Source organism: Homo sapiens, chromosome 8, assembly GCF_000001405.40.
Source record: "Homo sapiens chromosome 8, GRCh38.p14 Primary Assembly".
Taxonomy (NCBI): Eukaryota; Metazoa; Chordata; class Mammalia; order Primates; family Hominidae; genus Homo; species Homo sapiens.
In genome coordinates, this window is record NC_000008.11 from 53,547,558 (window position 1) to 53,562,339 (window position 14,782).

At 42.3% G+C, this 14,782-nt stretch overlaps 1 annotated feature.

Annotated features, from left to right (window-relative positions):
• Window positions 1,632–2,133: an enhancer, noted in NCBI's record as "NANOG hESC enhancer chr8:54461749-54462250 (GRCh37/hg19 assembly coordinates)". NCBI's record gives its function as "activates a minimal SCP1, AML or CMV promoter by ChIP-STARR-seq in naive H9 embryonic stem cells {active_cell/tissue: H9 hESC(naive)}" and the evidence as "EXISTENCE:reporter gene assay evidence [ECO:0000049][PMID:30033119]".

A 14,782-nucleotide genomic window follows, 5' to 3' on the forward strand; every position in this document is an offset into this window, starting at 1 on the left:
AGAAGGTCAGCAGCCAATTGGGCAACTCACTCCTTCACTGGAGGGGAAGCAGAAGGGGAAAGGAATGTCCCTGGAGTGGAAGTCTCTGCACTTGGAAACACAAAGCCAGGTGTAGAGTGCACATGCATTTGAGTTACATCTCTGACTCCCAGGGCTGGTCACAGCTTTTTATCATGCCAGTACACGACAGCAGTCACACCTGGTGAGGGCTGCCCTATCTCATGAGGATCCACATGATAGCGTGCGTAGCTTACATACATGGGAAACCTAGTATCACATGCATATAAGCACGCACAACATGCACTAATTATATCTGGGATCAACATTGGGTTCACATGGTATAAAAACACTGAACTTGCATAATTCAATGACGCTGTGTTCCTGAACTTGCATAATTCAATGCTGGTTTCTCCTCATGCTCTGAATCCAGTCTCTGGCCAGACACTAGGCCCTCACTCAGACACTCGCTCTTGCATGGGATTCATTTGACAATGATGGTACCCGCGGTCATCAAGAGAGGAAGTCTCTACACCCAGAGGGTGCCTCAGGGCCCATCGAGGGAGACTCATACCTAGATGTTAGGGCCACGGCCTTCCATGCCTCTCCCATAGGACTCTGTGTGTGACCAACAAGCACATGAAAAGTGCTCAACATCATTAATCATCAGAGAGATGCAAATTAAAATCACAGTGAGACACCACCTTACACTGGTCAGAATGGCTGGCTATTATTAAAAGGTCAAAAAAACAGCAGATGTTGGTGTCGATGTCAAGAAAATGGAATGCTTAAATGCTGTTGATGGGACTATAAATTAGTGTAATTTCTATGGAAAACATTATGGAGATTTTTCAAAGAATTAAAATAGAACTACCATTTGACTCAGCAATCCCACCACTGGGTATCTGCCCCCCAAAAAAGAAATCATTATATCAAAAACAGACCTGCACTCATATGATTATTGCAACACTATTCACAATTGCAAAGATATGGAAACAACCTAAGTGTCCATCAGCCAATGATTGGATAAAGAAAATGTGGTACATATATACTACAGCATACTAAACAGCCATGAAAAAGAATGAAATTATGTCTTTTGCAGCAACATGAATGGAACTAGAGGCCACTAAGTGAAATAACTCAGAAACAGAAAGTCATATACCACATATTTTCACTTATAAGTGGAAGCTAAATAATGTGAACACATGGACATTGACTGTGGAATACTAGCCATTGGTGCTCCATTAGGTAATTTCTCAACCCTCACTCCGCTCCCACCCACCCACTTTCCCAAGTCTCCAATGGGTGTTACGCTCAGCCATTTTAGTGTAACTATCATCCAAATAGTGTAACTATCATCCCAATAGTGTATACATCCATTAGAAATTACCTAATGCATACATACACTATTTGGATGATACTTACACTAAAAGCCCAGACTTCACCACTACACAATATACCCATGTAACAAAACTGCAATTGTACCCCCTAAATCTATAAAAATAAAAATATACAAAAATATTTTTAAAGAACTCTGTGTGTGTGTGTGTGTGTGTGTGTGTGTGTGTGTGAGAGAGAGAGAGAGAGAGAGAGGTGTGTATCCATAGGAAGGCCTAGTTGTAATTGTGCTATAAATAAAAGTAATTTGAGCAGGTTACCTCTGGTTGGTTTCTGCATTCTCATATCTACTCCACTGGAGTGAAAGTACTGAGGTGCAGTATTGGACTTTGTATTAATTACATTTTCTTATTTTCTGTGTTCTTGATTCTTTAGCATTTAGGGCCTTGCTGACCCTGGAGACACTGCCCCTCCCAGAGTTTGCTCTCCTAGAGAAAGCAAATAGCTCACCTAGGAGCGCGCCTTTCAAATGCAAAGAAACCAATCCAGGGCCCACTCCCACCACCTCCTCTATGTGGCTCTTACGCTCTGTCTCCTGTCCCCCTGCTCTGGTCACCCCAGACCAGGGACAAGATATCTAGGAACAACCCCTAAGTCCCAGAGGCCGCTGAAATGATTCAAGTCAGCAAGTGCTAAACCTGCTCACCCTTTCCTTCCCAGGACAGCACAGTTAAGGCTTCCACCAGCAGCCCCCTCTCTCCACCTACTCATCTCGCCTCGGTGCTTCCCCAGGTGGGCCCCCATGGAGGGAGGGCCACCACACCCAGTTAATTTTTATATAAAGGACTGGCCTCATGTCTTGTCATACTCGATTAAAACAAATCCCAGGTATCATTAAAACAAGTTTGAATTCCCTTCTATCCGCACCCTACCTACACTCCAGCCATAAATAGCTTTAACACAAGGGAAAGGATCCCTCCTTCTCCATACCGGCCAGGCTGGGGAAACTTAGAAGCAGAAGATACTCCATGAAGAGATAAAATCCAGCATCAGGGGTCACAATGCCTCGCAATGCTGGGCAAGTTCCTGTGGAGAGAGCACCGGCCGAGAATAAGAGAGGCACCATGCTCACTGGGAAGTGAGTTGTTCGGTTATGGTATTTTAAACATATAAGACAGAACATCAAGATAATGCATTCCAAAGATACCATCCAGAAGCAAATCCTGTCATCAGAAAGTACTATCAGTAGTGAAAACAATGGTGTGTGTGTGAGAGAGAGAGGGAAGGGGGAAGAGAGAGAGAAGGCCTCCCAGCCAAGGTCAAGTTAAGTTGGAGGCATCATTAAACTATATTTCAACATAAACTTAAAACATCTCTTGGCCAAGTGTGGTGGCTCACACCTGTAATTCCAGCACTTTGGGAGGCTGAGGTGGGCAGATCACTTGAGGTCAGGAGTTCAAGATCAGCCTGGGCAAAATGGCGAAACCCTGTCTCTACTAAAAATACAAAAATTAGCCAGGCGTGGTGACACATGCCTGTAAGCCCAGCTACTTGGGAGGCTGAGATGGGAGGATAACCTGAGCTCAGGAGACTGAGGCTTCAATGAGCAGAAATCACACCACTGCACTCCAGCCTGAGCAAAAGAGTAAGACCCTGTCTCAGAAAATAATTTTTTAAAAAAAATCTCTCATCTTACCTTCCGGAATTAAAAATTAAAGGTATAGTTCCTTCCCATGAGCTTCTAAGGCAACTAACATAATCAAAATAAATATTTACACAATAATCTAGAGATTTCAGCAGATTAGAAGATATATTTTATATATTACTCTTAAATATAAATTTGTTTATAAAATTTATTCACTTTTATGCCAATTTTGCAGCAAATTATTTTTATACAAAGATATCCAAATGGAAAACTGCAAATAGTTAGCCTTTTTTACCTAATTTACATATGAAAAAGTCTAAGTTAAAGTGCATATTACACATGCTCTGACTTCAACAGGAAACAGATTAGTACACTTTATAAAACATTGATTATTTTTATTATAAATATAATAAGTGCTCATTAAAGACAATTTGAGAAATATCTTAAAAGTATAATAAATAAAGCTTTACTCATATTTTAATTTTTCAGTTACAACCAATATTAAAATTTAGATGAATTTCTATAATTTTATGCATAAATTTTTGCATCTCCTTCAATTTACCTATATACTATTTGCTCGTCTCACATGACACTGATGGCAGAGATGGCCAGTCATCCAACTTCTACAGAGAAGAGATGTTGCTGCAAAGTGATGACATGCCCTAGGGAACGCAGCATCCAGGTGTCAAGGGATGAGATTCAGGCTTACAGGACATGGTGAAAGTGAAGATGCCACCTCCAAGTCTGGTCCAAGTAAACCTCCCATGTGATCCTCTCATACTTTCCCTTCTCTCCCTTTTCCCTGTTGGACATCAGCACCAGGCCAGCCATAAATGCCATGCATCGAAACATCAGAGCCTCGTTCAATCCAAGTGCCTGGATCCCAGCTACATGGAGCAACCCCCTTGTCCTCATCAGCTTCAGGTGAGACCTGTGTGAAGGGACAGGACTGGGAGTCTCATTCTTATAGTGGCTGATGTTAACAAGTAGAACTGCCCCACCTCCAAAAAGAAGGTTAGCACAAAATTAACAAATGCCATTTAAGTAACTCTTTTAATGACAAGGTTCATTTGTGCAAGAATCAAATGAAAGATACTTCATTTCAAACACTGACCTGCTCTTATGAACAGATGAAATAACCACAATGATTGCATTGCTTTCAACTTGACCTATAATTTCAGAGATCACAGATATGTAAACAGAAAGGATGACAGAGCCAGGTCTGCCATGCTTGTGTTGCTATAATAGTCTTGTTTAAGCCATTTTAAAAGGCGTTTATTATCAGACATCTTTCTTTTTGCAAGTTAAACTGGGATTTGAAAGAAAAAGTGACATAATAGGCCTTTTTCAGATCACAATCATTGGCCTACCCTAAAAGCACATGTCACTTCCTTGCTCCCTTTCTCTATCTTGAATAAAGCCATCCTGTGAATCACTCATCATGAGCAATAGCTGAAGACATATGGAGTCCCAGCCAGATGCAGTCCAGCCAGAATGAAGAAACCTTGCATCCTTACTTCATTTACAGCAGTGGCATTTGTAGCACTCTTTAAAATAGTCTGGATCAAAGCACTTTGCAACCTTTTGTGTGTTATTACAACACCCATTGTCCTCACTGTTTGTATTCCTGGCACCAGATGTTCCCAGCATCCCAAAAGAACCCACATTACCTTTGTGAGAATGATCTCCATTATCTGCCTTAAATTCCCTCTGAGAAGTCCAAAGGAATAAACCTCACAGGAGATCTCAGTTATAAAGGCAACTTTAAGGTTTTTGAAAATTTAACAACCACATTTCACTTCAACTGTGGTGAGAGGTCTCCCAGGCACCATCACCTGCCCCCTCATTCTCTCAGAGCCTCCAGACCACATAGAGTCCCAGTCAATACACTGGAGGCTGGTCTCCACCCTCAGACAACTAGATCCATTCAGCCATAGAGCATCTGTCCTGACCTTGACTTCATTATACACAGTAGAATCATTTATCTGAAATGTTCAAGACCTGACATTCCAAGACCAGATATCAGGGACTGAGACCTCTTAACATCAAAAGAACACAATGATTAAAAGAAAGAAAGAAAGAAAAATACTTCAAAAAACCCATATAAATCTTTAGGATATGGTCTCACTCTTGCCTTTCCAGAGAGAACAGGTAACAATGACCTGTCCTGGCCTCTGCCAGCTTGTATATATGACTAGGTATTTGCCTGAAAACTAACTCCAATAATAAGAATCTTATGCAAAGACCACAAATCATTTTCAATCATTACAATACCTTTTTTAGATTTATCCATTAAAATGATGTTATTTGTAAATAATCTTCTACTATAATTCATTTAATTGATCTTTCTAAACAGCTGTGATCAAAGTTCTCAAGAGTGGATCGAAATTAGAGCATCAAAAGAGCTCAACTTGTGTGTGTGTGTGTGTGTGTGTGTGTGTGTATTGACAAAACCTTCATTATATCAACACTTAGATGTACTGTTGTCATTTTCAATTCGTGAGTTCTAATCAAATGCTTTATTCTTTCCCACAAACTTTTAGTTTCCCCTTCCTGATGGTGAACAGAACTCTCATTCAGTAATCACTGAAGCCAGAAACACAGGACTCAATCTCACCTACTCCACCCCTTCCATGCTATTCTCATTCCCAAGCTGAATGCTTTTTGTTTATTCTGTTTATTTAATATCTCTTCCTTCAATATCCTTCTATTCATTTGCACTACCATTCAGTCAACAAATACTAAATGTTTATTGAGCACCTAGTAATGTGGTAAGTAGGTACTATCCAAAAATGAATTCGATTTAGTCCCTACCTTCAAGGAGGTCACAGTCTACAAAGAGAGAAAAACACACAAAACTAAGCTCAAAGTTAATCATTGTCATAGTTAACATTTACTGAGTATTTATAATGTGTCAGATTCTATTACATCAAATTCTTCAAATGACCCTAACAACTATGTGCTGTCATTATCATCCTAAATGTGAAATCACTGAGGCTTAGACAAATCAGTTTGTCAAGGTTACAGAATACAAGAGCAACAGACAAAAATCGATTTTGTTTCTGTATGCTAACAACAGACTATTAGAAATTAATCTTTAAATGCCATTCACAATAGCGTCAAAAGAATATGAACTGCTTTAGGATAAATATGTCAAAAGATGTGAAAGACCTGTCACAGTAGGAGTAATTCTAAAATTATCCCCAATCAGCCATGACTTTGTATAATTCCCTCCCCTTGAGTGTGGGCAGGACCTTTAACTGGCTTCTAACAAATAGGATGTGACAAAGGTGAAGGGGCTTTTCAGATGGATTTAAAGTCACTAATAAGTTAACTAAATTAATCAAAAAGGAGACTATCCTAAATGGGCCTGACCTACTCAGGTGAGTAGTTTAAAAGCTGGTCTCTCTTTCTATGTATATCTATCTTTCTATCTCTCTCTCTTTCTCCCCTCTTCCTTGCTGGCTCTGAGAAGCAAGCCACCATGATTTCCACAGCTGCAATAAAAGGAACATAGAGAACAATGAGCTAATCTTCAAAGAGACATTAGAACCTCAGATGAGACTGCAGCCCAAACACACAACCTTGGGAACCCCTGACCAGATTCTCCAACTAAACTCTACCTAGATTCCTTTTACCAGATAATAAATGTGTGTTGTTTTAAGTAGTTAAGTTTGTAGTACTTTGATGTGTGGCATAGAAAACAAATATGCTTGCATGGAAAACTATAAGATATCATCAAGAAAAATTTTAAAAACCTGAATGAATGGAGAGATATACTAGGTTTATGGTTCAGAAGACTCATTATTAACATTTTAACTCTCCCTAAACTGATCTATAGATTCAATGCAATCACAGTCAATATCTCAGCATGCTTTTGTATAGAAATTGACAAACTGATGCTAAAATTCACAAGGAAGTTCCAAGGACCTAAAATAGCCAAAACAACTTAAAAAAGATTGGAGAACTAATTCAGTTTGCTATCAAGACTTCATATAAAGTTTAAATAACTAAGACATATGTATTGGTGTTAAGACCAATGTGTTGGTATCAAGATCAATTGAAGAGAATAGTCAGAAACAGATTGGTACATATGTGAGCAAGTGATTTTTAACAAGAGTGCAGAATAATTCAGTGGAGAATAGATGATTGTCTTTCCAATATACGCTACTGAAAGAATTGGATATTTTACGTGAAAAAAAAAGAACTTCAATACATAATGCCCACTATATACAAAAATTAACTCAAAATGGATCATACATCTAAATGTAAAACTTAAAACTACATAAAATTTAAAAGAAAAAATAGCAGAAAATGTTATGGCCTAAGTAAACTTTTTTAATATAACACAATAAAATAACACATTGATAATTTGGGCACCCCAGAATTAAAACCACCTACTCATTGAAAAACACTGTTAAGAGGATGAAAAGACACCCTACAAACTGAGACAAAGTATTTTCAAATATTATCTGATACAGGATTCATAATAAGAAAAAAATGTTTAAAAAATGGGCAAAGAATCTGAATAGGCATCACACCAAAGACAATATGTGTATTTCCCATAAACACATGAAAAGACATTCAACATCATCACTTATAAGGGAAATGCTAATAAAAATCACAGTGAGGTACCACATATGCCTATTAGAAAGACTAAAATTTAAAAGGCTGATCACATTAAATGTGGGGGACTCTACAGAAGAACTCAAACTCTCATCACTGCTGATGAGAATGTAAAATGGTACAGCCACTTTGGTAGTTATTTTAAAAGTTGGGCACACACCTATCATATGGCCCAAGCATTCCACTCATAGTTACTTACCAAAGAGATGTGAAAGCATATGTCCATGCAAAAAATTATAAAAAATATTCGCAGCAGCTTTATTTGTAAGAGCCAAACACTGTGAACATCTCAGATGTCCATCAACAGGTAAAAGGATAAACTGTTGCATATCTATACCATAGAATGCTACCCAGCAACACAAAGAAATAACTATTGATGTATGCCACAACATGGATGTATCTCAAAGTAGTCTTGCTTGGTGAAAGAGGCCACACACAAAAGAGTACATTCTGTGTCATCTTCTTTATATAAAATATTCTAGATATTGCACATTAATCCAAAGTGACAGACAGCAGGTGAGTGGTTGGCTGTGGACAGGTGTGCTGGGAGAGGAGGTTAGAGGAGGAGATGGGTGTGAGGAAGGGATTACAAAAGGGTGGCAGATATGTTCACTATCTTGGTTGTGGATTGTGGTGATGGTGTAATAGGTATATACATATGCTAAAATATGTCGCATTGTGTCCTTTAAATATGTGCAGTTTATTGTATTAAATTACACTTAAATAAAACTGTCTTTACAACTCTATAGTAACACCACATCCCACTTGGAATAAAATTCAATCTCCTTTACATGCTACAAAGCATTACACAATCTGGTCCTCAAAGCTCATCTCCCACCCACTCTTCCCTCTGCCCACTCGTTTGCAGACATATTGTCTTTCTTTCTATTCTTCAATAGATTACATTTATTCTCACTTCAGGGCCTTTTTTTGGATTTGATTTCCTTCTCCCTGGAACACTATTTCCCTGACTCCACTTCCTTTCAGATCTCTGCTCAGATTCCCACTCCTCACTCAGTCTAAAATAGCACCCCAAACCATATATTACTGTTCATTTTTAACATTTAGCCCTGCTCATACCAGTGTCTATTACATTGTCAGTGAGAGTGTCTGGGAAAGATGTTCATGGAGCTGGGTCTGGAGAGATTATTAGATTAATAGCAATAGAAGTAATAGGGAATGAGGAACCCATTTTAGGTAGAAAGAGCATAGGCAGAGATAGGGAGAAGAAAAACAGCATGGTACATTCCTGGAACTAAAAGCGTTACCTGCATTTGTGGAACTACAAGTGTCCATAGCAACAGAAATGGAGCAACCAGCAGATCTGCAGAGCCTTATGTATAATGCTTAAGAGCCAAGACTTCGCACTGAAGAATTTTAAGTAGGATAGTGAAAGCCAACATTTTTGGTTTGGATTATGCACGCTGGTGGCGGAGACAAAATAAGAAACCCCAATGATAGAGACAGAAAAAAAGTTGAAACTTTTATGACATATATTTAAGAGATAAAGTACACAGCACTCAATGACTGAGTAATGTTAAAACAGAAAGTCAGCTGTGTTCCTTGTGCTGTTAAGTTGGCTTCACTAGGTAGAGGATGAGACACTTAACTGAGAGAAAAAATGTAGAGAAGCCAGTTTAGATGAGTTGGGAACATGCTGGATTTGAGAGTTGTCTCTCATGTCCGAGAAGAGATATCCAGCAGTCAAAGTATACATAAGTCTAAAACCTGGGGAAGTAGACTAACTTGAAATCATTAGATGGTGAAAGGAAATTTGTAAGCCACAAGAATAACTGGAGTTATTTACAGAGAGTCTTTGGATATAGAAGAGCATTGAGCCAAGGGGGAACCATGGAGAACACCATCATCACCATCCCTCATATTGATTCCCACTTGCTACATGACAGGCACTGGGCTATGAGCTTTAACTATGTTGGTTCACTTAACCTGTTATGCTATTATGAGTCTGCCTTCCTGACATTTTCCTTCCAACCATCTACAGCCAGCTCATAATTAAAGAAGCACTGAATAATTCAAAAATAAGCCCAACATATACAGATTGATATTGCTCTCCTGCTTCTCAATGGCATAGGAGGGTCAAATGTCACGTATGTGTGAGCACTGAAGGTTTTCATCAAAAAGAACATTAAAAATGATGACAATTTGGCAGGGCACGGTGGCTCACACCTGTAATCCAGCACTTTGAGAGGACGAGGCAGGTGGATCACGAGGTCAGGATTTCAAGACTAGCCTGGCCAATATGGTGAAATCCCTTCTCTACTAAAAATACAAGAATTAGCTGGGCATGGCAGTGCATTCCTGTAGTCCCAGCGGCTTGGGAGGCTGAGGCAGGAGAATCGCTTGAACCCAGGAGGCAGAGGTCGCAGTGAGCCAAGATCGCGCCACTGCACTGCAGCCTGGGCTACGGAGTGAAACTCATCTCAAAAAAAAAAGAATGAAGACATTTTAAAAGTAAAGTACCATGTGGTTATAGAAAACAGTAAAGGGCTGGAGGAGGGTTTCTAGAACAAGATGAAGAAAATAAACTGGAATGTCAGCCACAGAAAATTTGGGGGGAGCAGGGGCTGTGGGGTGGTGTAGCTGTCCAGGGCTCTGATCAAAAGTAGTCTTATGGTTCCAGAATGAATCTATTATTTAAGAACCTGGCAGGAAAGGGAAACATGTGTTGAAATAAAATGACAATCTGAGGATTTCAATGTCAATTAAATCAACATAATAATAGATAATTGTAAGAAAAGAACATTCAATTACAAAGAGATCCAACAAAACAAGAACTAAAAGAACCTGTTGGCTGTGTACAGTGGCTCATGCCTGTAATCCCAAGAGTTTTAGAGGCCAAGGTTGGAGGATCACTTGAGCCCAGGAGTTTGAGACCAGCCTGAGCAACACAGGGAGACCCCCATCTCTACAAAAAGAAAATAAAAAAGCAGATGGCCGACTTGAAGCAGCCAGTGTGTGATACTCTTACGGAGAGAAATAAAACAGGAGAGTAAATACTACAACTTCAATACTACAACTTCATCCAGGGGCATGCATTGGGATTCACCAAGGAAACAACTTGACGCATGGAGAATGGACAGGAGCAAGACAGGACGACTGCCCACCTGGGAGTGACTCGGAGTCCGTGGAGGCTCCCTACCCAGGGAAATGGTGAGTGAGTGAGAGACTCCGGGGGCACACACTCTTCCACAGATCTTCACAATCTTTAGGTCAGGACACCCATTTGTGAACCCACTCCACCAGGGTTTTCATTCTGACATGCAGAGCTACAAGGAGATTGGCAGAACTGCCCATCAGGCATATGTGGAACCCTGGGAGCCTTGGATCCAGGGGAATCCCAGCAATGGCAGCTGCAGCTTCAGGAAAGGAAGAAGTTAGGCCCCCTCACACTCCCACCCAGGAAAGGGAGGAGGTCAGGCTCCCTCACACACTCCCAGGAAAGAGGGGGTCAGGCTCCCTCACACACCCGCCCCCAGGAAAGGGGGAGTCGGGCTCCTTCACACCGCTTCAGGAAAGCAGGGAGGTCAGGCTCCCTCACACACCCAGAGAAGGGGCTGAGTCCAGGGGGCTGAGCAGTGAGGGTCTGCGGCCTCACTTCCCCGGCACCCCACGGGATAAGATCCACCGGCCTGGAACTCCAGCCACCCACAGCAGGTGCTCTCAGGCCTGTTCTCGGGCAGCAGCTCCAAGCCTTGGCTGAGATGGAGCTCCTGGAGGGAGGTGGGCCACCATCTTTGTGGTCTCACAGCCTCTGTTATTGCTGCCTTCAGGCTCTAGAGAGTCCGAGGTGACTAGGTGAGCAGACCCCACTCTATGGAAAAGCAGCCGGACTGCTTTTTTTACGCTGCTGTCAGAACTCATTTCTCCTTACTGGGTGAGACCTCCCAACTTGGGACTCCAGCCACCCCGTACTGGTGTTCTTGGGCTGGCAGCAGCTCCGCACCTCCCTGGGCCTGAGCCACCAGAGGGAGAGGTGGGTGCGCATCTTTGCTGTTTCACGATTTCACTGCTGCTGCCTTCAGGGCCTGGGGAGCCCAAGGTGACCAGGGACTGGATCGGACCCCAGCGCAGTGCAGCCGCCCTGCGGAAAAGGAGCCAGATGGTCTCATTTCTCCTCCCTAGGCAGGACTTCATGAGCTGGGACTCCAGCCACCCACTGCTGGGGCTATCGAGCTTTAAGCAGCTCTGCACGTCCCTGGGACAGAGCTCCCAGAGGAAGGGGTGACTGCTATTTTTGCTGTCTTGCAGCACTCACCTTTGCTACCTCTAGGCTCTGGAGAGTCCACAGGGTCTAGCGGCTGGTCCAGACCCTGCCAGCACAGCCACCCTGCCCTGCCTGATCACTTCAATTAGAAGTGGTTCAGCGTTTCTCCCAGGAGGAAATCCCAGGGTCAACAGGCAAACAACCCTTCCACCATTGCAGCTGCAGTGCTAGAGAAGGAACAAAGGTCCTAGTCTCTGTGCTGAAACCTTCAGCACACAGCAGCCACCTTACAGAAAGGAGTACAGTCCCTTTACCCTGAGAATCCCATCCCCGACTTTTCACCAGGCAAGGCCTGGGATCAGGACCACAGAACAGCTGCCCCACCCATGGCTGAGCATTCCCACTGCTAGTGGCTCTAAATTTCCCTGGGAAGAGGTTGGTTCCTAGGAGCGACTGACAGCCCCTCTGCCACTGCCACAGCAGCGATTCTGTGCCAGCTACCCTCTGCCTGGGGAAGAAACGAAGAGCCTGAGGGCTACAGCTGGGCTTACAGCACACCACAGTCACTATGTGGAGAGGAGCCCAGTCTCCTCCCAGTGAGCCCTCAACCCTCCTGCTCCCCAACAAGCAGAGCCCTCCAGCTAAAGCCAGCAGTGCAGCTGCCCCACCCTCTGGCTGAACACTCCCAGTAGCAGTGGCTCCACAATTCTCAGAGGTGGAGCTCCCAGGCACAACCAAAAGCCCCTCTCCCACTTCCTCAGCAGTGGTACTGCCCCTGCTGCCCTAAGACTGGCAACGGAGCAAAGAACCTAAGTGCCTCTTCCACACCTCCAGCAACTTGGAGTTGCTGTAAGGAGAGGCCAGTCTGTCTCCCAGAAGTCCCACCCACCATCTCCCCCACTCATCAACAGTTGGGTCCCCCAGCTTGGGCTCACAGCACAGCTCCCCATTCCCAGGCTGATCATACCAAATGATTGCAGCTTGGCATCTCTCTAGGGTGGAGCCCTAGGAGACAAGTGAAAGACCCCTGACCACAACCACTGCTAGGGTCCTTTCTTCTACTGTCTCCAACTTAGAGAGGAAATATAAGCCCTGAGATCACCCCAGAGCTGTGGTGTGTAACCCAGGAATGCAAAGCTGAGATCTGTAGCCAGTATTCAGATGGGAGAAGAGCCCACACTTTCAGAGCATTGAGAGGGGGCATGGCTGTAACTGTGAAGAAATTAATACAGAGGAGTCACATGGCTGAGTAAGAGCCTACTTACTGACCATTACACCTAAGCACCACCTACTGGATCACACCCCAAAACTTCAACACCAAAAATACTTTGCTAACATACCCCCCTATGAAACAAAAAACAAGAAGTCAGCTACAAATAAAGTCCCTGCACAAAGCCTCGGCTCTCTGGAAACATCCAGAAAAGAAGTCTACTGACTGTACTCAAACTATACTGCAGTTTAAGGAACATCCACACAAAGAGATGAGAAAGAACCAGCACAAGAACTCCAGCAATTAAAATGGCCAGAGTGTTTTCTGTCTTCCAAACGACAGCATTAGGGTTCCTAACTGGCCTCAGATGACTGAAAATACAGAAATAGAATTTAGAATATGGATAGGAAAGAAGACAATTGAGATTCAAGAGAACATCAAAACCCAATCCAAGGAATCTAAGAATAACAATGAAATGATACAGGAGCTCACAGACAAAATAGGCAGTAAAAAAAAAAAAAAAACAAAAAAAAAACCTAACACCCAATAGAGCTGAAAAACACACTATAAGAATTTGAAGGCTGGATGCGGTGGCTCACACCTGTAATCCCAGCACTTTGGGAGGCTGAGGTGGGCAGATCATGAGGTCAGGAGTTCAAGACCAGCCTGGCCAACATAGCGAAACCCTGTCTCTACTGAAAATACAAAAAATTAGCCAGGCATGGTGGCATGCACCTGTAGTCCCAGCTACCTGGGAGACTGAGGCAGGAGAATCACTTGAACCCGGGAGGCAGAGGTTGCAGTGAGCTGAGATGGTGCCACTGCACTCCAGCCTGGGCGACAGAGTGAGACTCCGTCTCAAAAAAAAAGAAAAAAGAATTTCAAAATGCAATCACAAATATTAACAGTAAAATAGACCAAGCCGAGGAAAGAATCTCAGAGCTTAAAGCTTGGCTTCCTGAAATAGGATAACTAGACAAAATAAATAAAAAAGAATGAAAAGGAATGAACAAAACCTCTGAGAAATATGAGATTATATAAAGAGGTCATATCTCTGAATCATTGGTGGCCCTGAAAGGAATGAAAAGAAAGCAGACAACTTGGAAATCATATTTCAGGATATGGTCTATGAAAACTTCCCCACCCTCACTAGAGAGGCTAACATACAAATTCAAGAAATGCAGAGAACCTCTGCAAGATACTACCCAAGAAGATCATCCCCAAGACACATAATCATCAGACTTTCCAAGGTCAAAAATTAAAGAAAAAATGTTAAAGGTGTCTAGAGAGAAAGAGCAGGTCACCTACTAAGGGAATACCATCAGACTAACAGTGAAACTTTCAGCAGAAACCCTGTAAGCCAGAAGAGATTGGGGCTGGGGCAGGGGGCAGCTATGTTCAACATTCTTAAAGAAAAAAATCTCCAACCAAGAATTCCATATACAGCCAGCCTAAGCTTCATAAATGAAGGAGAATAAGATCATTTCCAGACAAGCAAATGCTGAGGGAATTCATTACCACCAGACTTGCCTTACAAGAGCTACTGAAAGGCGCATTAAATATGGAAAGGAAAGACCATTACCAGCCAATACAATACCACACTTAAGTACACAAACCAGTGACACTATAAAGCAACCACACAAACAAGCCAGCATAAGAACCAGCTTACAACACAATGACAGGATCAAATATACACATATCAATACTAACCTTGAATGTAAATGGGTTAAGCACCTCAATT